The 26503-nt window shown below is 45.0% G+C and overlaps 2 protein-coding genes and 1 long non-coding RNA gene across 5 annotated transcripts in view, besides 11 other annotated features; 2 read left to right on the top strand and 1 right to left on the bottom strand.

The window, feature by feature from the left end:
* Positions 1-5860: 5860 nt before the first annotated feature.
* On the bottom strand, positions 5861-9050 carry CCN1 (cellular communication network factor 1). The gene is made up of 5 exons (NM_001554.5): positions 8764-9050; positions 8233-8446; positions 7527-7883; positions 7187-7395; positions 5861-7071 (listed from the first exon to the last, which is right to left on the bottom strand). Exons 1-5 carry the CDS (start codon positions 8824-8826, stop codon positions 6769-6771), a joined length of 1146 nt encoding a protein of 381 aa, NP_001545.2. The 5' UTR covers positions 8827-9050; the 3' UTR covers positions 5861-6768.
* Positions 7392-7913: an enhancer, noted in NCBI's record as "H3K27ac-H3K4me1 hESC enhancer chr1:86047581-86048102 (GRCh37/hg19 assembly coordinates)". NCBI's record gives its function as "activates a minimal SCP1, AML or CMV promoter by ChIP-STARR-seq in primed H9 embryonic stem cells {active_cell/tissue: H9 hESC(primed)}" and the evidence as "EXISTENCE:reporter gene assay evidence [ECO:0000049][PMID:30033119]".
* Positions 8330-8379: a silencer, noted in NCBI's record as "silent region_1041". NCBI's record gives its function as "represses an Ori minimal core promoter by ATAC-STARR-seq in GM12878 lymphoblastoid cells {active_cell/tissue: GM12878}" and the evidence as "EXISTENCE:reporter gene assay evidence [ECO:0000049][PMID:35858748]".
* Positions 8390-8439: a silencer, noted in NCBI's record as "silent region_1040". NCBI's record gives its function as "represses an Ori minimal core promoter by ATAC-STARR-seq in GM12878 lymphoblastoid cells {active_cell/tissue: GM12878}" and the evidence as "EXISTENCE:reporter gene assay evidence [ECO:0000049][PMID:35858748]".
* Positions 8450-8509: a silencer, noted in NCBI's record as "silent region_1039". NCBI's record gives its function as "represses an Ori minimal core promoter by ATAC-STARR-seq in GM12878 lymphoblastoid cells {active_cell/tissue: GM12878}" and the evidence as "EXISTENCE:reporter gene assay evidence [ECO:0000049][PMID:35858748]".
* Positions 8940-9069: a silencer, noted in NCBI's record as "silent region_1038". NCBI's record gives its function as "represses an Ori minimal core promoter by ATAC-STARR-seq in GM12878 lymphoblastoid cells {active_cell/tissue: GM12878}" and the evidence as "EXISTENCE:reporter gene assay evidence [ECO:0000049][PMID:35858748]".
* Positions 8940-9482: a biological region, named in NCBI's record as "NANOG-H3K27ac-H3K4me1 hESC enhancer GRCh37_chr1:86046012-86046534".
* Positions 8960-9482: an enhancer, noted in NCBI's record as "NANOG-H3K27ac-H3K4me1 hESC enhancer chr1:86046012-86046534 (GRCh37/hg19 assembly coordinates)". NCBI's record gives its function as "activates a minimal SCP1, AML or CMV promoter by ChIP-STARR-seq in primed H9 embryonic stem cells {active_cell/tissue: H9 hESC(primed)}" and the evidence as "EXISTENCE:reporter gene assay evidence [ECO:0000049][PMID:30033119]".
* Positions 9180-9229: an enhancer, noted in NCBI's record as "active region_1271". NCBI's record gives its function as "activates an Ori minimal core promoter by ATAC-STARR-seq in GM12878 lymphoblastoid cells {active_cell/tissue: GM12878}" and the evidence as "EXISTENCE:reporter gene assay evidence [ECO:0000049][PMID:35858748]".
* DDAH1 (dimethylarginine dimethylaminohydrolase 1) overlaps positions 11611-26503 on the top strand; it is a 259716-nt gene continuing 244823 nt past the window's right edge. For both annotated transcript variants that reach the window (XM_005270707.3, NM_001134445.2), the window contains exon 1: positions 11611-11827. In XM_005270707.3, coding sequence (XP_005270764.1) covers positions 11810-11827 — 18 coding nt within the window. In that variant the 5' untranslated portion in view covers positions 11611-11809. The remainder of the gene's footprint in view (positions 11828-26503) is intronic.
* Positions 11882-11941: an enhancer, noted in NCBI's record as "active region_1270". NCBI's record gives its function as "activates an Ori minimal core promoter by ATAC-STARR-seq in GM12878 lymphoblastoid cells {active_cell/tissue: GM12878}" and the evidence as "EXISTENCE:reporter gene assay evidence [ECO:0000049][PMID:35858748]".
* Positions 12422-12701: a silencer, noted in NCBI's record as "silent region_1037". NCBI's record gives its function as "represses an Ori minimal core promoter by ATAC-STARR-seq in GM12878 lymphoblastoid cells {active_cell/tissue: GM12878}" and the evidence as "EXISTENCE:reporter gene assay evidence [ECO:0000049][PMID:35858748]".
* Positions 12765-21843, top strand: LOC124904208 (uncharacterized). Of its 2 annotated transcripts, none has more exons than XR_007066201.1 (2): positions 12765-12785; positions 13907-21843. It is a non-coding gene; the product is annotated as an uncharacterized LOC124904208 (long non-coding RNA). The 2 variants fall into 2 exon arrangements; XR_007066200.1 differs by lacking the exon at positions 12765-12785 and adding an exon at positions 12792-13154.
* Positions 12812-13011: a silencer, noted in NCBI's record as "silent region_1036". NCBI's record gives its function as "represses an Ori minimal core promoter by ATAC-STARR-seq in GM12878 lymphoblastoid cells {active_cell/tissue: GM12878}" and the evidence as "EXISTENCE:reporter gene assay evidence [ECO:0000049][PMID:35858748]".

Here is a 26503-nt window from a genome sequence, read left to right as displayed (position 1 = left end):
TCCTGGATGGTCTTGATGCTTGTGGATGTTCAGCTTTGTCTGAGCATTGAAGAGTTGGGTATTTGTTGTACTCTTCACAGTCTGTGCTTGTTTGCACCTATCCTTCTTGGGAAGGCTTTCCAGGTATTCAAAAGGACTTGGGTGTTGTGATCTAAGCCATATCTGTATTAGGGGGCACCCCAACCCCAAGAATGCTGTGGTTCTTGCAGGCTCATAGAGGTACCACCTTGTTGGTCTTGGATAAGATCCAGATAATTCTCTGGGTTACTAGGCAGAGACTTTTGTTATCTTCCCTTACTTTCTCCCAAACAAATGGAGTCTCTCTCTGTGTGTGCTGAGCCACCTGGGGCTTGGGGGGTAGGGTGACACAAACACCCCTGCAGCCACCACCTCTGGAGCTGTGCCAGGTCAGACTTGAAGACAACACAGCACTGGGTCTCACCCAAGGCCCCCTGTAACCACTACCTAGTACCATCTGTGTTGAGTCAAAGCCCTAGGGCTCTACAATCAGCAGGTGGTAAAGCAGCCAGGTTTGTGTCCTTCCCTTCAGGGCAGCAAGTTCCCCCAGGCCCTGGGAAGGTCCAGAGATGCCATCCAGGATCCAGGGACTCGAGTCAACAACCTTAGAAGTCTATCTGGTGCTTTACACTACAGTGCCTAAGCTAGCACTCAAACCATGAGACACAGTCCTTCCCACTCTTCCATCCCCTTTTCAGAGGAAGAGGAGCCTCACCCTGTAGCCACCACCACCACGGACCCAAGAGGAGTATTGCCAAGCTACCACTGATATTCTTCTCAGGCCTAAGGGCTCTTCAGTCAGCTAGTGGTGAATGGTGCCAGGCCTGGGATTCACCTTTCAGGCCAGTGGGCTCTTCTCTGGCCCAGGGCAGGTCCAGAAGTGCCATTCAAGACCCAAGGCCTGGAATTGGGGCCCCAAGACCCCTCTTGGTATTATACTCCACTGTGGCTGAGCTGGTACCTGTGATGCAATACAAGGTCCCCTTTGCTTTTTCATCTGTTTTTCTCAAGCAGAAGGAGTCTCTCATCATAGTCACAATAGCTGGAAATGTGCTGAGTCTTACCTGAAGTCATCACATCTCAAAGTCTCACCCAAGGCCCACAGCATTCTATCTGGGTATCACTGCTGGTTATTCAGGGCCCGGGGGCTCTTTAGTCAGCAGGTAACAGTTCTTGCCAGCTCCGAGTCCTTATCTTGAAGGTAGCAGGTTCCCTTCTGGCCCAACATGTGTCTAGAAATGTGGTTGGCAAGCTAGAACTTGGAATAGGGGCCTCACAACTGTGACCTGTGCCCTATCCCACTGTGGCTGAGCTGGTATCCAAGATGCAAGACAAAGTCCTCCTTATTCTTCCCTCTCTTCTCCTCAAGTGGGAGGTAGGGGTCTCTTTTGGAGCCGCAAGCTGTGCTGCCTGGGTTTGGGGGAAGGGTGATGCAAGCTCTCCCTTAGCTGCCCCAACTGGTATCTCAGTAAGTCACATGCCCTTAAAATCCACCTGCTCTGAGCCCAGCTCAGTGCCAGGACTTGCAGTCCTTACAGCCGAGACTGCCTTTTAAGTTTATTTACGTCCCCAAGGCACTTCAGCCCATGGTGGTAAGGCTTGCCAGAACTCCAGCTCTTACCACTGGGATGGGTGATTCTCCTCTGGCTAGGACAGGTCTGAATGCTACCTCCATAGGTGGGCATCTCTGCTGTGACAGGGCAGCACTGCGTTCCAGGCAGTCTCCTAGTTGCTGTAGTCTCCCTCTCCCAAGAGCACAGATTCTCTGCACCATGTGGCTGCTGCCAGAGAATGGGGGAGGGGTGGTGGCAGTGATTCAAGACTGTCTTTCCTACACTCTTCAGTGCCTCTTTCAACGATATGAAGTTAGAAACTGGTTGTGAGTGCTCATCTGAATTCTGGTTCTTGTAAAGGTTCTTTTTTGTGTAGGTAGTTGTTAAATTTGGTGTTCCTGCAGTGGGGATGATTGTTGGGGATTTTTATTCCACCTTTTTGCTCTGCCCCTTAAAAAACTTCTTGGTGTAAGGAACTATTAATAATTTAGACTGGGTGGTGAAGAAAGGTTGCTAAGAAGGTAGCATTTGTGCTGAGACCTACATGCCAAGAAGAAGCCTAGGTCAGGGGAAGGGGCATTTGAGGCAGAGGAACGCTAGTGCAAAGGCCCTGCAGGGGAAATTGCTTGGCTTTTTCAAAGAAGAAGAAAAGGCAAGTGGAAGTATAGTGAATGAGGGTGAATGGTAAGAAGTAGGCAGGGTCCAGGACCTGGGTGCCAAGTAAGAAGCTAAATCTCTACTTTGACAGCAGTGGGACACCATTGGAGCCTTTAACCCAAGGGTCCATATAGTCCGATTTACATTTTTAAAGAGTCAGTTTAAAAATGTAAAAGGGGAAGAATGGAAACCAATGATATTTTGGTTATCTATTGCTATGTAACAAACAAACCCAAAACTTATTTCTTTATAATTACCGTATTGGTTTGCCCACTATTTCGTGGGTCAGGAACTATGGGAAGGACTCAGCTGGGCAGCTCATCTCTGATTCACAAGACATCAGCTGGGGTGGCTGAGGCTGGAGGATTCACTTCCAAGATGGTTTCTTCATGGACAGGTGTAATGCCCAAGTGCTCCTGGTCCTTTCTCTTTCTCCACATGGCAACTCATTCTCTAAGGCCTATCCATGTGGCTTCAGCTTCTCACAGTCTGCTGGTCTCAGAGTAGTTGTACTTCTTACATGGAAGCTCATTTCTAAGAGAAAAGATGGAGGAACTCCTAGCCAGTACTGCATGTGGAACTTGTACCACATTGCATTGCTTCCTCCACATTCACAGGTCAAGAGCTCACCCACATCCAAGAGGGTGGAGAAATAGACCCCCCCATTAATGGGGGAGCAACAGAGGCACATTGCAGAAGGGCACATGGAGTGGGAGATATTGCTGCAGCCACCTTTGGAAAATACAATATGCTATAAATGAGGAGGCCATTCTGGTAATTCAGACAAGGGATGATGGTGGTCTCATCTAGAGGTTTGCTCTGGAGATGAGAAAGGGGTAGATTCAGAATATATGAACAGAATATATGGAAACAGCAAAGCAGTAACAAATGCATCTGAGTATTTATTAATTGTAGTTTATAAGATTACATGGATGAATATTGCCCACCACCAATGGAGAAAGTCACAGCTATATCTAATCTATTTGTAGGACAAATGGATCATTGTCATGTTTCAGAATATGCTTTGTTTTAAAGCATCAGTTGTGTAGGGCAAGGAGTTAATGAGGCCTGGATAGGGCTATACAGTGAGGTTAAAGTATGGACCTGTAGACTCTGAGATCCAGGAATTGCTGTGTCCTCTAACCAAGGGTGCTTTAGAAAGTAAAGGGGGGGGAAGGGGTCTAGCCACAATACATTTTCAAACGCTTCATGGAAACAAGTGCATTTGATGACAGAAAGCCTTGAGCAGTTTTCAGTTCACACATGTGGTTACTTGAGGAGATAAAAGTTTTAAGGTATGAGAGCCAATGTACCGAAGTGGGTGTATGAGAAAGGGTTTTTGGGGTGACAAAAATGCTGAAAGCTATTTTCCTACTTTAACATGAGGGAGTGAAACAGAAACTTGCCCAGAGTCACCTAGTGAATTCATGGCAGAGCTGGTGCTAAAAGACATGATTCCATGGGATTCTTTCCACTGTATCACCTGCCATTCTGCCCAGAGCATAGCTTTGCTCTGTACTGTGGTCATACTGAACCACTGCTATTGCTCAACTGACTTTCAAGTAGTGCCAGAAGGCTGCAAGAAGAGGTTGTGAACAAACCAAGTCTGTTCCCTCTGTTGGAAAACATAACTCTAAAATATGCTTTGCTAATTTTGACTCAGTTGCATCTCTTTGTGGAGCAGACAACACATATGTTCATATGAAAAAATAGTCATAGTGAGACTACTTGCTGTGCTGCTCAATGTCCCATAGAGTATTTCTTAAAATTCGTGGAATGCCTAAGATTCTGAGATCACTCTCTCAGTTCTAAAATCTCTACCAAAAAATAGCTCAAGACCACCAGGATCTTTTGGATTGAAAAGCAAGAACAACCCAAGGTCTTTACTGTGCATGGGAAGGTACATATATATTATAATGAATATTTCTATATGTAACTTCTATTTCATATATGCAGATGCATAATTTTTGGTTTGTTTTCTCAATATTTAAAGTGGGCAGAGCTCCATTCTGGATGTAGGTAAAACTTACGTGTTCTAAATATCATAATTTTATTCTCCACTACTTTTAATTTCTTCAGGTTTTTCTATAGCTAAACAAAAGACATAATTTGCTTGTATTCATCTTCTTTATTAATTGAACACACTTATTGTAAATGGAATTGGCACTTTCAATCACCCTCATTATATTTACTAGGATGAAATTAATAACCCAAAGATTCAGTGTTTTCCCATACTAGGTTCTGTTTCACATTTGAGCTTATTTGGACAAATACTACTTCCCTGCACACTGAAAGGATCTGTAAAATATTGCTCCTTGATCTCTGCATAAGAAGCAATTTGTTGGACTCCAGTGTTGGAGAGCAATACTTCAGGGTTGATGCTTGGGAATGTGTAAATCTTGCCTATGGATTTAGATGTCTGTTCAACAAGATTGCACCACAAAAGCCTCACACCTTTATTATGTTTCACACGTTACATTGCACTGACAAGTTTAACTGCATCCACGACTGGGCCAGCTGATGTTTAAATTCTCAAATACCTTAACATTTGAATGTCTCAGGCAAGAAACCTGACTATTCAGAAGGCACAAGCTGTAATATTTCAGGCAAGTCAAAATCAGAAGTGAAGGCTTTTGGCCATAGATTTTACTAGTGCATTTATATTAACCTCTATGCATTTCCATAAGGCTTTAAAACCATTTCTTAGGCAGTATTTTTCTGTGGGTCTTCATTAAAGTATGGATCTTATTTAATCTACTTGGAAAAATCCCTTCAGGATCCCAGGAGCTGTCCTCCTCCATTCCTTTTAAAAGCACTTTCTCTTCTGCCTAAAAACTCAAGTACTCTCTTAACTAAGTGCGGACTGAAATATTTCACTATGGATTTGAACAGGAGCCAACAGTGATGATGAAAGGAAAACTTCTCCCTATAAAAGGTTTATTGTCAGCGCTTTCTAAAGATGAAGATGCTTCTGAAACAGACTACTGACATTTTCACAAACATTGACACAGCCTTCTCAACCTCTCCTAGACCTATGATTTGGGTCCCTTTCTTTTAGGAATGCTCTGGACCTTTGACCTTCTGAATAGCCAACTCTATATAACTGCTCCCTCCCCCATCAATATAACGTATATTATAAAAAGGAAAGGGGGATGGGGTAGCTTGGCCCTCACGCTATTGGAAAAGTAGTTGAAATTCCTTGCATTCCTTTGCATTTAACAGCATGTTTACCTAATCACCGGCTTATTAGGATTAACACAAGTCATGCTTCAAGCTCATTTAGTGAAAACAAACTGACTCCTATAGACTCAGATTTTTCCTCATAACAGCCAAGGGTAAATTTCTAAGTAGTTCTAATTTTTAGGAACGGTATTGGGAAAATATAAAGTTATAAACAAGCAAGTCTTTAGAATACATTAATTATATTCAATCTTGCCCATGGGTCTGGATGTGGGCAGCCTGAGTTATGGACTACCCCTTTTCATTAAAGGGTTTCTCTACTCTACTAAAGTGGCATGCCCACTAACCTGGTGATTAAAATAATAAATTATTATAGCCATCTCACAGAGTGATGGAGACCCTTAGGCTTTATATTCTGATGAACATGAAGCGCTGTTTTCTTAAATCACAAATTTAGCTTCAGAATCTTTATTGTGCTTCATACAATGTCGTGTTCAATACATGTTTTTTAAACATTACTTTATATGCAAAGACTTTTCTCTACTGAAGGTATAAAAGCAATCATTATCTTATTTTAATAGCTTAATTCACTGCTGTATCCCAATAAGTCCTGTTTGAATAATTGAGTACGTGAGCTAGGTTGTTCCTAATGACTTTGGAGCACCTCTAAAAATACCGAATGGCATACACTCAGATATTAGGTAAATATTTCTTTATTAAATGGTTAATTCCATAAATAAAATCTTTTCACTGAATATAAAATTAAAATCATTTACAAATTATTCCAGTATTACATTTCCCCTCCCTCCCCAAAAGCTACATTTTGATAAATAAAACATTCAGTCTTAAAACACCTGATTTCTGTTTGCAGTTTAGAGTGCAGATAGCTGCCTCTCACAGACACTCATGGAGTGTCCCCCTTCAGGAAGGGATGGAATGCCCTCCCATTTACTTTTGTCAAAGGACGAATAAAAGCTTTAAACTGTCCAACTAATCTTATTATCTCTTTTACGACTGTAGAACCCCAAAAGGAAAAAAGCCTAGAGAAAATATGCTTAGCAAATAATTTACAAACAGAAAACAGAAAGTCATCAACTCCACAAGCTCCAAAATGAAGCAGTAACATGTGCTCCAATACTATGAAGCAAAGTATTCTCCAATCGTGGCTGCATTAGTGTCCATCCGCACCAGCACCCTTGGCAGTTTCGAAATACCTTAATGCTCCTCAAGAATGAGCAAGGCTTCCTTTCTACAATGAGTCCCATCACCCACACCACCCCCGCCCATTTTCTCCATGATTCTGATTCTGACACTCTTCTCCCTTGTTTGTCTAGGTGTGCCCTGGAAACCCAGGTAGCATTTAGTCCCTAAATTTGTGAATGTCATTGAACAGCCTGTAGAAGGGAAACGCTGCTTCATTGGCATGCGGGCAGTTGTAGTTGCATTTGCAGGACTGGATCATCATGACGTTCTTGGAAAATGTCTCCCCATCTTCGCAGCGGAACCGCATCTTCACAGTCCTGGTCAGCTGGGGCGTGCAGCATCGGCCGTCCACGCAGGAACCGCAGTACTTGGGCCGGTATTTCTTCACACTCAAACATCCAGCGTAAGTAAACCTGACTGGTTCGGGGGATTTCTTGGTCTTGCTGCATTTCTTGCCCTTCTGTAAGAGAAAGGAGAGAAGGAAAGTTAGGGGTGATATTTCTCTTTCTTCAAAAAGATGTTCACATCCCACCCACCTGCCAGGCAACAGTCTACACGTCCCTGAAGGAACTTACTTTCAGGCTGCTGTACACTGGCTGTCCACAAGGCCGCACCTCACAAATCCGGGTTTCTTTCACAAGGCGGCACTCAGGGTTGTCATTGGTAACTCGTGTGGAGATACCAGTTCCACAGGTCTTTGAGCACTGGGACCATGAAGTTGTTTGAACAATACATTTCTGGCCTTGTAAAGGGTTGTATAGGATGCGAGGCTCCATTCCAAAAACTAGAGACATATAAGAGGGAAGACTTCTCAGAGGCATACCGACACAAACAGGCTCAAGCACTCATTTCTACAAAGATTTAGACCAGAAATGCATCTCAGTACAGTGTCTGAAGTGCTCAGTCTCCACTTACCAGGGAGCCGCTTCAGTGAGCTGCCTTTTCCAACTGCAATCAATTCATTGTTTCTCGTCAACTCCACCTCGGAGGCATCGAATCCCAGCTCCTTGCCAAGGAGGCCGTCCTGGTCCTCCATGGGGTCCTTGATACTATCCTCGTCACAGACCCACTCCTCGCAGCACTGCCCGGTAACTTTGACCAGCCGAGGGTTGGGACAGCCCAAGTTGGGGAGAGATAGTTCTTGGGGACACAGAGGAATGCAGCCCACGGCGCCATCAATACATGTGCACTGATGTTTACAGTTGGGCTGGAAACTTTCCCCGTTTTGGTAGATTCTGGAGTTATATTCACAGGGTCTGCCCTCTGACTGAGCTGCAAAGATCACCAAAAGAGAAAGGTAGAAGGGGATAAAGTTAAGATTCCAAACCACCGCCTGAAACTCATACATATTTTCTGCTGTTAAATTCAATTTATGGTAAAGTTCCCTACAATTCCCCGGAGACTCCAGACCAGAACAATAAGTTAGTCAGGAATCACTTTTCCGTATGCGCTTTCGTTGGGCCCAGACACACTGAATTGCATTCCAGACTGCTGAAATCATGTGCCTTTCTGCCAAGCTACCAACAACAAAGCATCACCATACATGGTCTCAGAATTACTAAACTTCTGGACTATGGGGACTAGTATTTTTTTTAAAGGGGCCAAACCACAAGCATCTTACCTCTGCAGATCCCCTTCAGAGCGGTGGAGCTGGCGCCGAAGTTGCATTCCAGCCCCTTGGTGTGGTCGCAGGGCTGCGTTTTGCTGCAGTCCTCGTTGAGCTGCTTGGCGCAGACCTTACAGCAGCCGCAGCCGTCCCGGACCAGCCCGACTCCCGGCGCGCACTTGGGCGCCTCCAGGGGGCAGTGGCAGGCAGCGGGGCAGGTGGAGAGCGCCTGGAAGGGGGAGAAGATACGCGTGAGACTCGGCGCGGTGCGCAGGAGGGGCGCCGCGGCTGCCGCAGTGAGGGACGGGGGTCTCCGACCCTATCGACGGGGAGCCTCTGATCTCGTCCAGCCCGGCCACCTCGGAAGGCTGCTCCCACCAAGAGGTCCCGACACGTCTTCGGGGGGAGGGGGAGAGTGCTTAAAGAAACGGCTACCCGCAAACGATCGCGAACTTTTTAACTTTTCCTGCCGTGGGCAATCTGGGACCAGGGGAAGGGGCTGGAGAGCGGACGGGGAATAGGTGGCAAAAGGAGAGTCCAACTCACCAGCCTGGTCAAGTGGAGAAGGGTGACGACTAAGGCGAGCGCCCTGGCGATGCGGGAGCTCATTGTGGCGCGCAGGAGTAGCCCGGGGCGAGCGCGGCGACGAAGACGCCAACAAGCTGGTGTGCAGCGGACAGGCCGTGCGCAGCGGGGTCGGGGTGGCGGCGCGGTGGGCCCGGTGGGCAGGGAGGCGAGGGCTGGGCGGCGGGCGGGCGTCTTTCGCTCGAGGTCCCGGCGGAGAAGGCGCGGAGGGCGCGGGCGCTGCTCGGGGGCGCTCTCGCTCGCGGTCTGCCCAGGCGCCCCGGAGCCCGCCTTTTATACGGGCCGGCGGAGGCGCCGCGTGTTGCAGTGACGTCGGCTCTGTCTGCGCGTTCCAGAATTCTCAAACATCTCAGGAATGCTGGTTGGCGCGGGCTGCTGCCAAGCGCCTCCCCTGGCTCCATTGCACCTTTGTGTGTGTGTGTGTGTGTGTGTGTGTGTGTGTGTGTGTGTGTGTGTGTGTGTGTCTGTGTGTGTGTCTGTCTCCCAGACCCGTCAAGAAAACAGTTCGGGGGGTGTGTGTGTGTGTGTGTGTGTGTGTGTGTGTGTCCCAGACCCGTCAAGAAAACAGTTCGTTTTTTCCACCTTAAATTACGACTTATGTTGGGAAGGGTTCTTTGGGGCGTGATGGTGGTGATGGTAGTTGGAGGGTCGTGAGGGGCGAGGGGGGCCAGTTCAGAACTTTGCCTGGACTGGGTGGGTGGGAGGACCTGAGAGGGAGGAACAAAAGTCGTTTTGTTTGGTGATGCGAGTTGACCGGGCAGCCACTGAAGCCCTCACCCGGGAAGGCAGTGAGCTGTTTGCTTTTTTACAGCGAAGGTGAGAGGCAAGTTATCTGTTGAAAGAGTAGAACGGGGAAGAGGAGTGTGTCTCTGAGTCAGGAATATTTGTGGACTTCAAAGAGGCGTGTTCGGAACAAGTCCCAAAGCTTTGGCATGATGTTTATTAGCAAAGTTCAGTGAATTGCAAATTAATACCCACAGTGGCATTTATGAATGAAAAGGCGGGGGGGGGGTGGGGCGGGGGGAAACTTGCCCATCGTCTGGCAAATTCCCAGGCAGAGGTCTCCCCCACTCCTCCAGCCCTTCCCTCTTTTGGGTATGTTGTACTTGTTTGTTTTTGGAGGTTCCCACTTTAGTTCCAGCCCACTGCCTGGGTTGGAAGTCCGAGAGGAAACGAACGCGGGGAGTTCTCCGGGAGGCTGACTTATACTTCCTCACGGATGCAGGAGACGGGGTAAGCCCTTCCCGCCTCCCTCCGCGGGCAGGAGGCTATGCTAACCAAGCAGCCAGCCAGAAGTGCAGGAGACCACCGTGGAGTGGCCTGAAATCATCACCTGCAAAGACCGCAAGGCCAAACCAGATTCCAGGACCATTGTGCCCTATGAATCTCTGGGAAAAGCAGACTCCTTCAAGCTGGACATTTTGTGGGGTTTTTAACTCCTTTCCTAGGGACCACTGGAAGCCTCCCATTTTAAATGAATTGCAATGCCCTTCTCTCCAAGTACAGAAAAGAGATTTAGGATGTAATATTTTGCAGTAAAAATGTCAGCAGATTTTAAGATCCCGTTCTACTTGCAACACACTCAGTAGAAGACCCCACCACAAGACAATTTACTTGAACATCACCAATACCATTAGTGTGATTGATAAACTTTCCCTGCAAGTTTCAAAAACTTTTTGCATAATTTTAATAAAAATTATCATGTAAGACTCATATGCTCTAGGATAACTACTTATCCTTTTTAATGTTTAAGGCTATTCAGACTTCATAATTTAGCAGTCTTGCTTGAAAAGGCCCTTAGTGCTAATGCTGACTTTCCTGATAAGCACAATGAGAATCTGTCAGGATGAAAACACACTCCAGTGAAGAGAATTCTTGCAGGAAGGAGTTCAGTTTCATTCATTCCAAAGTGCCCTTTCATAAATGGAAGCAGCATTTGCTAGAGGGAGTGGGATCTCTAAAGCTCTGTTAGAGGGTTAGGGGTGGGAGACTTTTCAAGACAATGGATTGTCAGGTGTTATGCAAATACAGTGAGGAAAGTGTGGGCCCAACACGTACACAGGTTAATACATCAATTATTATTTACAAAACACTGTTTTTCCTGCCTTATCATTTCATTATTGTTTCCTTCTTAATGAAGTGACGGGGGGCGGGAGGGGGGAGGAGGGGTGCAGGGACAGTACTGGTTGAACTAGAGAGAGAATGGAGAGGAGGGTTCCTGGCTTCTGTTGTGGCGTCTTTTCTATTTGACTTCATGGTTGTAAGTATTTCCAGATGGTGAATCAGACACCAGACGTAACAATATTTCCATATTTGGGTATAGCAGTAGCCTGCGTTTTTAACATTTTTCTGCCTCTGTTATCCAACCACAAAGCATTCTTGACAGCTTCAAATGTTGTTAAATATAGATTTAACTTCTCTTCCCAGAGCAGGAAATTCTTTGGAATTCCTTGTTTTTCACGCAATCTGTCCATCATGATTTAAAATAAAAGCACAGTGGATCATCCAACTGGCCGTATATACCTTAATTGGAGGTTGGGGATGGGGGACGGCAGAGATCCAGTCTGCCGCACTGCGTTCAAACACACGCCATTCCAGAGATTCCTTTAAAATCACATTAAAGTTTTTTTAACAAGGGTGTGTGGGTTTGTTTCTGGACTTCAACTGGGGAATCTTGAGGATGAGTTTGCCCCAGAAGAGAAATTTAGAGAACCTTACCGTCAGCTGCCCATTTAAAGCAGGGGGTGTGTTGTGGGATGGGGGTGGGAAGCTGGAGCAACAGGGCCAGGAGGTGTGGGAGCGGGAGACACTAGAGTAACCTATGTGCACAGCCTCTCCATATACCATGTGCTGTTGCGCCTGCTAGTAATCGACGACATTAGGCAAGAGAAACAGCGGCTCCTCAAGTCCTGCCCAAAGACCGTCCAGAAACCCCAGCCTCCCGTCGCCTTCTCGCCGCCTCCGCTGGGAGCCGCAGATCAGTCCAAGTTGACGGACAGGAGGCGAAATGTGCAAATGTTTATGGGTAAGTGTTGCTTCGGGTGCTAATTCTGTATGGCTCTTTTGCTAGTTTCTCCTTCACCCTCCCCATACGGGTGCCCCAGGAGGAAATAACGGACTGCCTTGTTTCCTTGGGCTGCCTTGGATTGCAATCCACGGAGAAGGGGCTACTTGTCTTCTGCAGCTCCTGGCTTCGGGCTGAGAGATGGGGACGTCTCTCAACCGCTGCTGCCAGGGAATTTTAGGTTACCTAATGAAGGGCTCACTGTCTGGCGGCAACCGAGAATAATAACGGTAAATCTGGCGACTCCAGTTTCCTAGCCCTAGGAAGGCTCTCAGACTAGCGTGCATCCGAGTCGCCTGGAGGGCTAGTTAATGAATGGTTCTCTGGGTTCCCACCCCAGAGTTTCTGATTAGTTACATTTCTAACAAGTCCCCAGGTGATGTTGATGCTGCTGGTCCGGAGATCACACCCTGAGCACCACTGCCCTGGACGACCGGAGTGCCTGTAGTAGGGGTGTGTGTGTGTGTCTTCATAGATCCTCGGCTGCACACCCAACCTCACAACTCCACTCTTCAAAGCCACCTTAATGAACAGAACTTAATGGTGTCTGCAAAAGACCGGCTTTAAGGTGGCGCCCCCGTACCATCCCATTTCTCTCCTCTACCATTTCCCCGCCCCCATCCCCTTGGCTTGACAGCCAGGAGAGCCCCAGGAAGCCAGGATCCTGGTGGCTGCGGCAGGAACTGGGTGGCCGACGCGCGGAGAGGGCGGTCGGCTCCGGGACCCCTGCGGAGGGAGCGGAGAGGGTCCGCACCGCGAGAGGGTGCGGGACGCGAGGCATCCGGACGCGCCTGCCCGGCTGCTACCGCCGCCCCCTGCCGGCCACCCCGCCCGCGCGCCCACAGTCACCGCGGTTGCCAAGAATCGAGGTTTCCGGCGGCGCGCGGCGCAGGACGTTTCCAGCCCCGGCCCATATTTGGTGAAAGTCTTTCAAGACTCCGTCATCTAGCTTCGGGGGGCGGTGGCGGTGGCGGTGGCGGCGGCGGCGGCTGTCCTGCGACCCGGCCTGGCAGGCTTGCGGCCGCCGCGTTCCTGAAAAGTGCGCCGCGGCGGCCCGCGCCCAGGCCTCCCTCCGCGCGGGACCCCGGAGCGTTGCGGGCGGCGGGGTAGACCCGGGCAGTTTGGCCCCAGTCCTCACCCCTCTGAGGGCCGAAGTCCGCCCTGCGCTGCGTGGGAGGCTGGCGCGGAGGGCGCCGCGGCCCAGTTGTGTCACTTTTCCCGTCCGCCCCCCTGTTGACTAGTCCTCCCAGCGGGGCAGCGAGTTGCCGTGCTGTGCCAGACGTAGAGGGTGCGTCCGGCGCAAGGGTGTGGGGCTGTGTGTGTATGTGTGTGTGTGGGCGGGGGGATGTTCGGAGGATGGCGTTTGCGTGGACACCAAGCGCACCCGAGAGCGGGACGTGTAGCCAGCTCTGGGGAAAAGCCCCGAAGGGCCTGGATTCCATTATCCCCAGAAGGGACACATGGTAAAGCTGGCTCTCGGTTTCTCCTGGCCTCCCACGACCCCTTCCCCTCTTCCTCCTCGAGAAGTTCCGCGTGTGGGGAGCCCTGGATAGGAAGTCCTGGCTCTGCCATCAGTAGGCTGTGGCCTTGGGGACGCTGCTCATCCTCTCGGGACCTTGCCTGCTTCTCAGTAAATTGGGAAAGGAGGCAGCAAGTAGTAAAGCCAGAGCAGCTCCTTTCAGGGCCAAATCTCATGTCATCCCCTCTAATAAATTAGTCAGAAATTAACACATTATATAGGGTTCACATAGGTTGGGCATCATTTTAAATGCCTTCTATATATTGATTTGTTTAATTCTCAGATGCCCCATTGAAGCAGGTCATCTTGGTAACACCATTTTCTTTTTTTTTTCTTTTTTTTTAAATTTTATTTATTTATTTTTATTATACTTTAAGTTTTAGGGTACATGTGCACAACGTGCAGGTTTGTTACATATGTATACATGTGCCATGTTAGTGTGCTGCACCCATTAACTCATCATTTAACATTAGGTATATCTCCTAATGCTATCCCTCCCCTCTCCCCTGACCCCACAACAGGCCCCAGTGTGTGATGTTCCCTTTCCTGAGTAACACCATTTTCTATCTAAATGAAGAAATGGAGGCATGGAAGGTAAGTGACTAGCCAAGGTCACTCACCTAGCCAGCAGCGAAACTGGATTTGGGCCCAGATCATAAGGTCTCACACTTAACTACTGTGCTATACTGCCTACTCTCTATCTCTTACCTCAGACATTCAGGCCCATCCTCTTCTCCTGGAAATTTACCTTTATTTAACTCTATCACAGCTTACCCAAATAGTCTAGGTGAAATGCATCAGATATAAAAAATAGTTGATAAATTACCTGAAGCTGTGCTAACCCCTGAGAATTGCGTAATGTACTGGCTCTTAGGAAGGAGGGAGAAAAGGAGTGTTGTATTTTAACAGAAAAGGTCTTAATGCAGATACATATATAGAGTGGTCTTTAAGCACCTTGGCAGGCTGGTGGGGAAGATGTTTAGGACCTCTGGGGTTCTTTTGACACCTCATAAGCCACATTGTTCAGGCAATCCCTACTTCTGGAATAAGGCTTGGCCTGGTAGGAGTTGAATTTGTCATTGAGATAAAGGTTTCAGCATCACTTACTTGATGGTTCATCAGTCTGGGTGTTCACTGTGGACCCAGTCTGTTTTTGTTGTTGGTTTTGTTTTGTTTTGTTTTGTTTTGTTTTTTTGTAACATGGTCTGGTTCTGTCACCCAGGCTAGAGTGCAGTGGCATGATCTAGGCTCACCATAGCCTTGACCTCCTGGGCTCAAGCCATCCACCCGCCTTAGCCTCCTGAGTAGCTGGGACTACAGGCTCATGCCACCACACCCAGCTAATTTTTGTAGAGATGGGGTCTCCCCATGTTGCTCAGGCTGGTTTTAAACTCCTGGGCTCAAGCGATCTGCCCATCTCGGCCTCCCCAAGTGCTGAGATTGCAGGTGTGAGCCACTGCACCAGGCTCCCCGTCTGTTTTTAACCCGTTTTCTCCCCAACTATGTTATAATTAATTACATATATATATATATAGAGAGAGAGAGAGAGATGGGTTTTCACCATGTTGGCCAGGCTGGTCTCGAATTTCTGGCCTCAAGTGATCCACCCGCCTCGGCCTCCCAAAGTGCTGGGATTACAGGCATGAGCCATAGCGCCTGGACTAATTACCCATATATTTGAGGACAATGTATTTACCCTTCCCTGAATCCCAGATTTATTCAGAGCTTGTGATGTGTCATGGCATAGTGCTAGGTACTGGTGACATGAGAAAGAGGATTTTAATATTGAACGTCCCCCGCAGGACTGTAAGGCATATTGCAGAAGTGGGTACATAAATGCTGTGTGGATACTTCACTGCCTGAGAGGAGTTAGGGGGAACGACTAATCTGGGGCTGAAAGGATGAACAGGAGTTTGATAGCAGGGCAGGACATTTGAGAGGAAGGGAACAAGGCCTTGACTGGGCATAACAATCAGTCTGATGCACTGGACCATAGGATTCCTTCTGAAAACTGGCAAGAGATGTCAGTTGGGACCATCTGCGAATGGCCTTGCTGTCATGGCATTGGAACTTTGCAGAGTGAGCCATGTGAGCTTTTTGCCTAGGTTTCCTTGTCTATAAGATAACAGGATTCTCCTAGCTCAGAGGACACACACTCAAGTGCCTGCAGGATTCAGCCAGGTAACACCATGCCATGACTCAGGATTAGTGCTGGCTGATATTTGGCCTTGGCCTTGGGAACCATGGGGACACTGGAACCATCTATGAGAGGCTGAATGGTTACTAGGTGAAAATGTAGGTTCACTGTTTGCATATTTTCTCATTTTAAAAAGAGATACTAGAGATCTGAATTTTTATGTGAAGTCTTCAAAATTTTAAAATGTTGGCAATTAATTACAATGTTAAAATGCCATCTAGACTAATCCTTGGAAAACCCAAGAAGACAATGTCTGTGGGTGCCATTTGTGATCTCTGGACTGAATATCTCTAAGAATCTGTCTTGCTCCAGCATTCTATAACTCCCAGCCACCTGTGAAATTGTAGGGAACAGCACCCTGGGCTCCATTTAATTGTCAAGTTGACTAGACTTTATTTTGTTTAAGAGTCAGGGCTGCTACTTACCTCTTGGTTGTAGGAATTTATAACCTATTAAGAAAATTGGAATTGGCTTTTTACAAATTTTCTACTTCATCCACTCTCCAGCCACTACTCTGTCTCCCTCCTTCCTGTCCCCCTGAATTGATGATGTAAGCAGCTGGCATTGCCTTGGCAATATGATAGGAAACACTTTTTTAGGGCATCCATATCCCGTGGGAACTCTTATCTGTTTATTTTCTCCACTTGGCATCTATCCACAGGAAGCCAGCATTCCTAACTCCCTTACCTTACAGAACTTCTTGTTTTGTGATAACACAGAAACATTTTATTGGAAAGGACTGGAAGGCACCTCTCCCACCACACCCTGCAATCCATCTTCTAGAGATGATTGAGCAATATGAAATATAATAATTGTAAGTCATTATCAAATGGCTTGGCTCCAGATTGAGAGAATCAGCAATTAACCTCTGCCTTTCGTGTTTTATTTCTGGAGATACCTGTCTCTTAACCAACCACTAACATCACACGTAGCACATCCAGAATTTAGAAAGGATTTGCTCTGGGCACAGTAGATGAGCACACAGATTCTACAGAGAGATTGAAGTGATTTATTTGTGACAAATTTTTGCAAGTCTTGGGGATTGAGTGTAAGGGAGTATTCAAGCAGTTGGACTTACTATGTGAAAGAAGACATAAGACATATTTACTGCTCAGCCTGATGCCTGGCACATAGTAAGTGCTTAATTACAATTATTCCTACTGCCAAGCACCATCATTATCTTTACTTTCACTGCAATTAACATAGAATGAGCTAGTCTTATTCTCTAGAGAATACTTTCTATTCTTTAGAACTCTAGTTATAAAATCAATAAAATTCTTTGGTATATGGTATATAGATGATATGATTAAAAGGATCCATCCAGCCAGGTATTCTGGCTGCACTGAGACACCAGTGACTATCTAAAAAACCACTCAAATGGGCTTACCTCTCATGGCACTGGGACTTTGCCTACAGGCAGTGGTGAGCCATGTGATGTTTTGCTTTGGTTTCCTCATCTATGAGATGATAGGATTGCACCAGCTCAGGAGTGGTACACTCAAGTGCCCCAGGAATCAGAGAGGTAAAAAATGCCATGCCTGAGCGTTAGTGCCGGCTGACACTTGGCCTTAGCACTTGGGAGACATAGGAATAGTTGGAAGCATCTATGGGGCCTGGGCTTTGCCTCCCATTGGCTAAATGGTTAGTATACACAATCTCATCAGATCTTTATAAACAACTCTGTAGGATGAATATTTTATTTCCATTAAAAAGATGAGAAAATTGAAGCTTTGCTAGATGTCAGTAATTGGTGCAAGGGGGCAGGGTTGTTAAGGTAGAGCAGAATACCTGTTTCAAAGACCATTCCTTTCGGGGAGAGCATGGTATTTGTCCTTCATGAAATCTGCCTTAAAGTTCAGGAAGTTGCCTGCAACTTCTTGACTTCCCCTTAACAACTGACTGTGAATCTGTCACTTAAATATTGTTCTAAATGTGTCTTTAGCTTGTGTTTTCAGTAACTGTGGCCCACAGTTTCTTAATGAGAGTCTGATAATAAACAAGTTAAACAATGAAAAAGGGTTCTCTCCTTAGGGCCCTTGCCTGAGCTTGTTTCTATTTCCTCTGGGAGGAAAAAAGAAAGAGATGTGTCAGAACAGAGGTGGAACTTCTCAGAGATTGAGAGATCCGTCTACTGTAACTTAGTCATCACCATCAATTTTGTTACCTGAGGCAGGCAGAGCTGCTACCTCCCACAGCCTGTGGTTATCCTCACAACAGAGTTACTAAGCACGGAGCCCTCCAGGCCCCTGCCAAGCGCACCCTGCATGTGCCTTACGCAAGGTGTCCCTGAGCATTGAATGTTGGGTGGGGTGGGGGTTGCCCAAGGTTATAGCAATAAAGAAAAAACATAGTGCCAGGTGCTTCTCTGAAATCATTTACCCCTTCTTTTGTAGTTAGGTTTTGGCTTTCAAAAGACAAAAAAAAAAAAAAAAAAAAAAAAAGCTTATAAACAGTTCATTCTAAAAGGACAAAGGCAATATGTATTGTATGCTTAAAATTTCCAAGGCTCTGGAAAATGTCTTTGGGAGAATTAGAAAGTGTAGACTATATGCTAAAGCATTGCAGACCCAGAAGATAGATGATTCAGTTCATTCTAATAAACATAACATGTATGGCATGCTGCATGCTAGGCAGCAATGCAAAGAGGAATAATATATGGACTTTGCTTCATGGCTCTAGCTGCCTAGGGGAGATGCAGATGCTTAAACAGATAATACAATACTGTGGATTAAAGCTCTAGAAGCCGTGCAGCTTTGGGAGTACAGACAAGGGATGTCCAACTCTGAGTCTCACCCTTTAAAGATGTGAGGTCTTGTTAGTGTGTACATTTTTATGGATGAGAGGGATTGGGCACAGTTATTCCCTAACATACACATTCCCTTTGAAGCTGGGAACTGCAAGGAATGTGCACATTCCTGAGAGATTAGAAAACATCTAAAAGTGAGAACTTTCAGGTGAGCCTCTTAAAATGCATTGATTACAGATGGGACCGACCCTTTGGGTGCTATTGAAAATTCTTATCATTATGGATCCTTCTTTCAGAAGGGGAAAGAGAAGGGAAGTGACATTTACAGGGCACCGCCATGGGCCAAACGCCTTACAGGTTCATGTTCAGGAGAGCCCTCTGAGATGAGCTTTTTGACATCTTTCTAAGCTTAGGGAATGAAGGCTCAGAGAAGTTAAGCAACTTGTCCAGGATCAGACAGTTAGAATGTGACCAAACAAGGATTCTAATCCAGGCCTGTCTGACTCCAAGTTCCGTCCTCTTTCTACATTTCTGCTACACAGTCCTAATTCCTTGAGTTTTCACTCCCTGTATGAGTGTTTGCCATTTTTCTCTCTTTTTTTTTTTGTTACCACCACTTCGCCTTTATAGAGCCAGCCCTTTACACATTCCTTAGCACTTTCAGGTGCACTGATTTGAAGTCTTTGAGCCACTGATGACTCTAGCTTTTAAAAGGAGGTACAGATTAAAGTGAATGGGATCATTGCCATCACGTGAACATTCCTGTCACCATCGGTTTGATCAGAGAACAGGCATGGTGATAGCCTGCACTTATCTTTGCTTCTTTGCTAGGCACTGGGCAGAATGATTTAGACATATGGAATCTCTGTTTTCCAGGGACAGATGACAGATTCCAGAGGAAATGGTGCAGTATAATTAAAAATAACTAAGGAAGTATGATTTTCTTATTTTGTGTTTAAAAAATGGTTGGGAGTTGCCACGGGCAGTCTGAGGCTGCACTAGAGTACTATGCTGTAACCTGGAAGACTGCTTTGAGAAGGAAGTTAGATGACTATATGAAGAAGGTGTTAGATAAGTGCACTGAGATGTGTGTGTGTGTGTGTGTGTGTGTGTGTGTGACAGTGTGTGTGCTGGAGAAGGGAGGTTAAGGATCAAAGGTATGGAATAAGCAAGGGAGAGAAGGCTCAGAAACAAAAATAGAAAATATCAGGCATCAGGAGAAGAAAGGCTGAACTCTTTGTAGAGGCTTTGAGGCCACGTGGTAGCAAGAAAGAATGCAGGGGTCAGAGGGTACACTTGCTATGGTGCGGCTCAGGTTAACCACCTAATCTCACGGGGTCTCAGTCTCGTCAGTGGTAAAACAGAAATAATAATATCTCAAGAATTATTGGGAGGATTGAATGAAGTCTTGTTTCAGCTCTCCAGAAACTGAGATGTGCCCTCCAAATGTTTGTGATCAGCGTCAGCTTGGTTTAAATCTGAAGCTCCTGGAGAGCCTTTGGGAGGGGAGGGTCACATTCTGTGGTGAATAGAGAAAGTCAGCAGTCACTGTGAGCATGGGGTATAGCGAGTGATAAGGAAGAACTGACTTAGCAAGACTAGGTTGTGGAAACAAGAGAAGCTGAAGAGCAACCGTGAATTAGGACATTCTCGTGGATTCATTTCTTGTTATCACCACTGATCCAGACTCCCTCCACCTTTCTTTCCTCTGGGCTTCCTGCACTTTCATTGCTCTGCTATTTTGAATAGAGGAGAAGTCCTTGAGTCCCAGTTCAGGAGAAGCAACTAGAAAGGGCCAGCGTGCATAGCTGGGCCATCCTGCAAATGCTTTTTCCAAGAGCTGCAGCCCTGAAAGCTGGGGCCAGAGAAGGAGGTGGAGGACGAAGATGGGGTTGGAAACAAACTCAGGGAAAACTTCTAAAGTGACAGAAAGTGAGAATTGAGACAATTTCTGCCTGAAATCACCTGTCCAGCTATTAGTCATTAACCCACCTGGAACCAAATGCAGTTAATTTAGCACCATGTTGGAAAGCTTAGAACATGAACCACATCCTAGGGCCAGGTTTTGATCCTTTGTAAAGGCTTCTCTTTTGGAACACAATTTGGTGTCAGTACATAGGAACTAACAAGTGTGCTGAGTTGTGAGTCATCAGCAGTCTGCTTTCCTCCAGAACATCATGGGAAAAGAATGGGCAGACTGCTTCAGATAAAACCTGGACCCACTCAAACTTTTACTGTAGACTGGAAACAAAACAAATCGACTTTAAAAAGAATGTTTTAAAAATCTAATTGAACTCAGAAAGGAGACATAAGCCTCTGTTCTTTGGTTTCAATGTGGATCTGAAGTCTTGTTTTGTTTACTGTTCAGTCTTCAGGCAATCGCATCAGGTGTTATTTACAACTCAGTAGATTCTTGGGGAGTTCACACAGGCCTTTTAAAGCACATTTGTGAAATGATCGTACCATACTAGGGTTTGGGGATACAAAGATGACAGATGTGGTCCCTGACTTTGAGGATGACACAGTCTAGAGGAGAGCTTGCATAAATAGTGTGTATATAATGAGTGACTTCATAAAGGTGCAGTATACATGAGCTGCTTTAGGAGCCCTGCCTGAACACTGCCCCACACTGGGGTGAAGTCTTCTTGTCACACTGGATGGTGCTGCTCTTGAGACTTCCAGAGCTTCCTCCATAAAGCTTGGAAGGGCAAGCTGTGTTTTTCTCTGCTTGGATATAATTTATTATGCTTTGGACATAGTATCAGCAAAGACTTGAGGATCCTTTAATAAGGATCCTTTAATTATGAACTCTCATTCATAAGGAATTGCATATTTTTATTTTAAATGTCTTTGCACTTCCCTTTGGTAAGCAATCTAGGGTTCCTAATGTGCATAGCCTTTTGGGTAAACGTGTGTTTCTGGTGTTCTAATGATAGCTAGTGAATGTGTGAATTATATTCTTGGCCTTACTTGAAATGATGCGAGGTTTCTGTTGTATAGTGTTAAAGGTGAGCCTGATTATTTGAAGCCCTTCCCTAGGCAGTGGGCACAGTGGATAAGAAGGGAGAGCATATTGGGTAAAATGACAGTGCTCCAGGATTCCATTACATTTAGTGGCATTTTGGGATATTGTTTTATTTGATTCCACTGTCGTTCATGATATGCCATCTGTCTTTATTTCCTTTCCTTTGTTTGCTTTGGGTTTAATTTTCTCTTATTTGTCTAGTTTCTTAATATGGAAGCTGAGGTCACTGGTTGAAAACATTTTCTCTCTATTATAAGCACTTAATGCTATAAATTTCCCTCTACTCCTGCTTCAGCTGCATCCCACATATTTTGACATGTTTTTATTTTTAATCTGTTTAAAAGACTTTCTAATTTCCTTTTTGATTTTTTTTGACTCAGGTTATTTAGAAGTGTGTTATTTAGGATATTTGGATATTTTCCAGGTATGATTCTGTTATTTATTTCTAGCTTCATTTTATTGTGGTCAGAAAATAAACTGTGTTTAACTTGAATTCTTTTATACTTCTTGAGACTGGTTTTATGACCCAGAATATAGTCCATCTTGAAAAGAATGTCTAGTCTGCTATTGTGGGTGGAGTGATCCATACATGTCAGTTAGGCAAAATTGTTTGATAGTGTTGATTTTTTTGTCTACCTATTCTTTGGATAATTGAGAGAGGAATATTGAAATCTCCAACTACAATTATGAATATGTCTATTTTTCTTTTTACTTCTGTTAGGTTTTGCTCGATGTATTTTGAACTTCTGTTGTTAGATGGATAAACATTTAGAATTGCTATATCCTCTGGATAAATTGACTCATCTGTGATTCTGAAATGACTCTTTCATTTCATAATTAGTCTGTTTTCACGCTGCTGATAAAGACATACCTGAGACTGGGCAATTTAAAAAAGAAAGAAGTTTATTGGACTTACAGTCCCACATGGCTAAAGAGGCCTCACAATCACAGTGGAAGGCAAAAAGGAGCAAGTCACATCTTACATGGATGGCACCAAGCAAAAAGAGAGCTTGTGCAGAGAAACTCCCCATTTTTAAAACCATTGGATCTTGTGAGACCTATCACTATCATGAGAATAGCACGGGAAATACCCGCCCCCATGATTCAATCATCTCTCACCAGGTCCCTCCCACAACACCTGGGAATTATGGAAGCTACAAGATGAGATTTGGGTGGGGACACAGAGCCAAACCATATCATTGATGGTTAATTTTATGTGTTAAATTTGACAGGGCTACAGGGTCCCAGATGTTTGGTTGAACATTCTGAGTGTGTCTGTGTGGGTGTTTTTGGATGAGGTTAACATTTGAATCAGTAGACTGAGTAAAGCAGATGGTGCTCTCTGATGTGAGTGGGCCTCATCCAATCAGCTGAAGGCCTGAATAGAACAATAAGACTGACTCTTCTGTATGAGGTAATTCTTCCTGCCTGATTACCTTTGAGCTGAGATGGGAGGTTTCTTCTGCCTTCAGTCTCAATCTGACACATTGATTCTTCATAGGTTTCAAGCCTGCTGGCCTTCAGGCTGGAACTACACCATCAGCTCCCCTAGGTCTCCAGCATGCCAACTACAGATCCTGGGGCTTGTCAGCCTCCATACTCACATAAGCCAATTCCTTATAATAAATCTCTCTCTACTTCTACACATACACACACGTACACACATGTACACACACACACACATATATACATACATACATTTTTCTGGTTCTGTTTCTTTTGGAGAACCATAACTAATCTAATACAATTTCTTTATCCCTAGTAATATTCTTTGTTCTGAAATCTAATCCCTATTCTAGTTTTCTTTTGATTAGTATTTATATGCTATTTGAAAAATCCTTTTGCTTTTAACCTACTTGTGTCTTTATATTTAAATTAGGTTTCTTATAGTTTGGGTTTTGCTTTCTTATTCAATGTGACATTCTCTACTACTTTATTTTTCTTTCTTTTCTTTTTTTTTTTTTTTGAGATGGGGTCTCGCTCTGTCACCCAGGCTGGAGTGCAGTGGTGCGATCTTGGCTCACTGCAACTGTCACCTCCCAGGCTCGAGCCATCCTCCCACATCAGTCTCCTGAGTAGCTGGGACTACAGGTGTGCACCACCACACCCAGATAATTTTTTGTAGAAATGAGCTCTCACTATATTGCCCAGGCTGAACTCCTGGGCTGGAGCAATCCACCCATCTTGACCTCCCAAAGTGTTAGGATTACAGGCATGTGCCACCTCACATGGCCCATTCTCTACTTTTTAATACTGTCTACCTTTTCTTCCTTTTGGGGATTGAATTGTTTTATTCTGTTGTATTTCCTTTTTTATTGGCTGATGAACTATAACTCTTTGTTGTTGGTTTTTTGTTTTTTGGTTGTTTTTTTTTTTGAGACAGAGTTTTGCTCTTGTTGCCCAGGCTGGAGTGCAATGGTGTGATCTCGACTCACTGCAACCTCCGCCTACTGGGTTCAAGTGATTCTCCTGTCTCAGCCTCCCGAGTAGCTGGGATAACAGGCGCGTGCCACCACACCCAGCTAATTTTTGTATTTTTAGTAGTCACAGGGTTTTGCCATGTTGGCCAGCCTGGTCTCGAACTCTTGACCTCAGGTGATCCACCCACCTTGGCCTCCCAAAGTGCTGGGATTACAGGCGTGAGCCACCTCACCCAGCCAATATTTTGGCCTTAAACATCCAATTATCTTTAGAAAGATATACAAAATGAGACAAAAGTCTTTTATATTTACCATTTCTGGTGCTCCTTATTCCTTTGTTTAGGTATTATTTTTGCTTCTGCCTGAAGCACTTCTTTTAATGTTTCTTGAGCAGGTGTGCTGGCAATGGATTCTTTTAGCTTTTGAATATCTGAAAAACTTTTTTTTATTTTCTTTTTTTCAACTTTTTATTTTGAAATAATATAGGCTCATAGGAAGTCGCAAAAATAGTTCATAGAGTCAATCTAATGAGCCCTTCACCCAGCTTCCTCCAAGAGTGGCATCTTATCACTAGTACAATATCAAACCAGGAAATTGACATGAGAGCAATACTAATAACTAGACTACAGACTTTAATAAGGTTTTAACCCGTTGTTTTATGCACTCATTTGTATATTCACCTTAATTTTTGGAAGATATTTTTACTGGATATTGGACTTCTAGGTTGGCAGTATTTTCTTTCATTGCATTATAGCCCTGCTGCTTCTGGCTTATGTTGTTTCTGATGAGAAATCAGCTGACATTCAAAAATTTGTTCTTCTTTATGCATTTTTTTTTTAACGGAGTCTCGTTCCATTGCCTAGGCTGGAGTACAGTGGCACAATCTCGGCTCACTGCAAACTCTGCCTCCTGGGTACAAGTGATTCTCCTGTCTCAGCCTCCTGAGTAGCTGGGACTATAAGTGTGTGCCACCACACTCAACTAATCTTTTTTTTTTGTATTTTCAGTAGAAATGGGGTTTCACCATGTTGGCCAGGCTGGTCTCAAACTACTGACCTCGTGATCCGCCTGCCTTGGCCTCCCAAAGTGCTGGAATTACAGGCGTGAGCCACTGCGCCTGGCCACGATGTATCTTTTCTTTGGCTGCTTTTAAGAATTTCTCCTTTTTTTTTTTTTGACATAGTCTTGCTCTGTTGCCCAGGGTGGAGTGCAGTGGCACAATCTCGGCTCACTGCAACCTCTGCCTCCTGGGTGATTCTCATGCCTCAGCCTCCTGAGTAGCTGGGATTACAGGCACCCGCCACCATGCCTGGCTCATTTGTTTGTATTTTTAGTAGACATGGGGTTTCACCATGTTGACCAGGCTGGTTTCGAACTCCTAACCTCAAGTGATCTGCCTTCTTTGGCCTCCCAAAGTGCTAGGATTACAGGCATGAACCACTGCACCTGGCTTTATTACCATTTTTAAGCAATTTGTGATGTGCCTTGGGTGTAGTTTTCTTCATGTTTCTTGCACTTGGTGTTCTTGGATCTGTGAGTTTAAATTTTTCACGAAATTTAAACAAAAATTTCAGCTATTATTTTTTCAAATGTGTTTTGGCCTCACCACTACCCCTCTCTGCACTTCAAAGACTCCAATTACATATGTATTAGGTCATTCAAAGTTTTCACCAACTCACTGGAACTCTCTTTGTTTTTTACTTTTAGTCTTTTTCCCTGTTTTCACTATGGAAAGTTTCTAATGCTATATCTCAAGTTCATTAATCTTTTATGGGAGGTATATAATCTGCTGTTAATCACATTTATTATATATATTTTTTTATCTCAGACATTGTAGTTTTGTTTTGTTTTGTTTTGTTTTGTTTTTGAGATGGAGTCTTGCTCTGTTGCCAGGCTGGAGCTCAATGGTGCAATCTCAGCTTACTGCAACTTCCGCCTCCAGGGTTCAAGCGGTTCCCCTGCCTCAGCCTCCCGAGTAGCTGGGACTACAGGTGCATACCACCATGCCCAGCTAATTTTTGGTATTTTAGTAGAGACGGGGTTTCACCATGTTGACCAGGATGGTTTCGATCTCCTGACCTTTTGATCTGCCCAACTTGGCCTCCCAAAGTGCTGGGATTACAGGCGTGAGCCATCACGCCCAGCTCTAGACATTGTAGTTTTAACTCTAGAAGCTTGACTTGGGTCTTTTAAAATATCTTCCATGTTGCTACTTAGCATGCTTAATCTTTCCTTGACCTTTTTCAATATATGGAATATAGTTAAAATAATAACTCTTAATCTCTTTATCTACTAATTCTATCATGTGTGTCATTTCTGAGTCTGTTTACATTGATTAATTTTTCTCCTAATTTTATAGATCATGTTTTTCTGCTTATTTGCATGCTAGTAAGTTTTGAGTGGATGTCATACATTGTGAATTCTACCTTGTCGGGTGCTAGATATTATATTCCTTAAAATATTCTTGAATTTTGTTTTGGAACACAGTTACTTGGAAACTGTTTAATGCTTTCAAGTCTTACTTTTAAGTTTTGTAGAGACCAAAGTGGCATTTAATTTAGGGCTGATTTGTCCCCAGGACTGAGGCAAAACCTTTCTGAATATCCCACTTGCTGCCCCATAATTTGTGAAGTTTTCCACTCTGGCTGCTGAGAACACAAAATATTCCCAGCTCTTTGTATGTCGCAAGAACTGTTTCTTCTGCTCCTTTTAGGCAGTTCTTTCCCCAGC

This window comes from Homo sapiens, chromosome 1 (genome assembly GCF_000001405.40).
Source record: "Homo sapiens chromosome 1, GRCh38.p14 Primary Assembly".
Lineage (NCBI taxonomy): Eukaryota > Metazoa > Chordata > Mammalia > Primates > Hominidae > Homo > Homo sapiens.
This window is presented reverse-complemented; position numbering and strand designations above follow the sequence as displayed.

Coding starts and splice junctions, on each gene's coding strand:
- CCN1 (NM_001554.5), bottom strand. CDS start 8,826: ATGAGCTCCCGCATCGCCAGGGCGCTCGCCTTAGTCGTCACCCTTCTC. Junction 7,884..8,232: donor TCTGAAGGGGATCTGCAGAG/GTAAGATGCTTG, acceptor TGATCTTTGCAG/CTCAGTCAGAGGGCAGACCC. Junction 7,072..7,186: donor CAGTGTACAGCAGCCTGAAA/GTAAGTTCCTTC, acceptor TTTCTCTTACAG/AAGGGCAAGAAATGCAGCAA.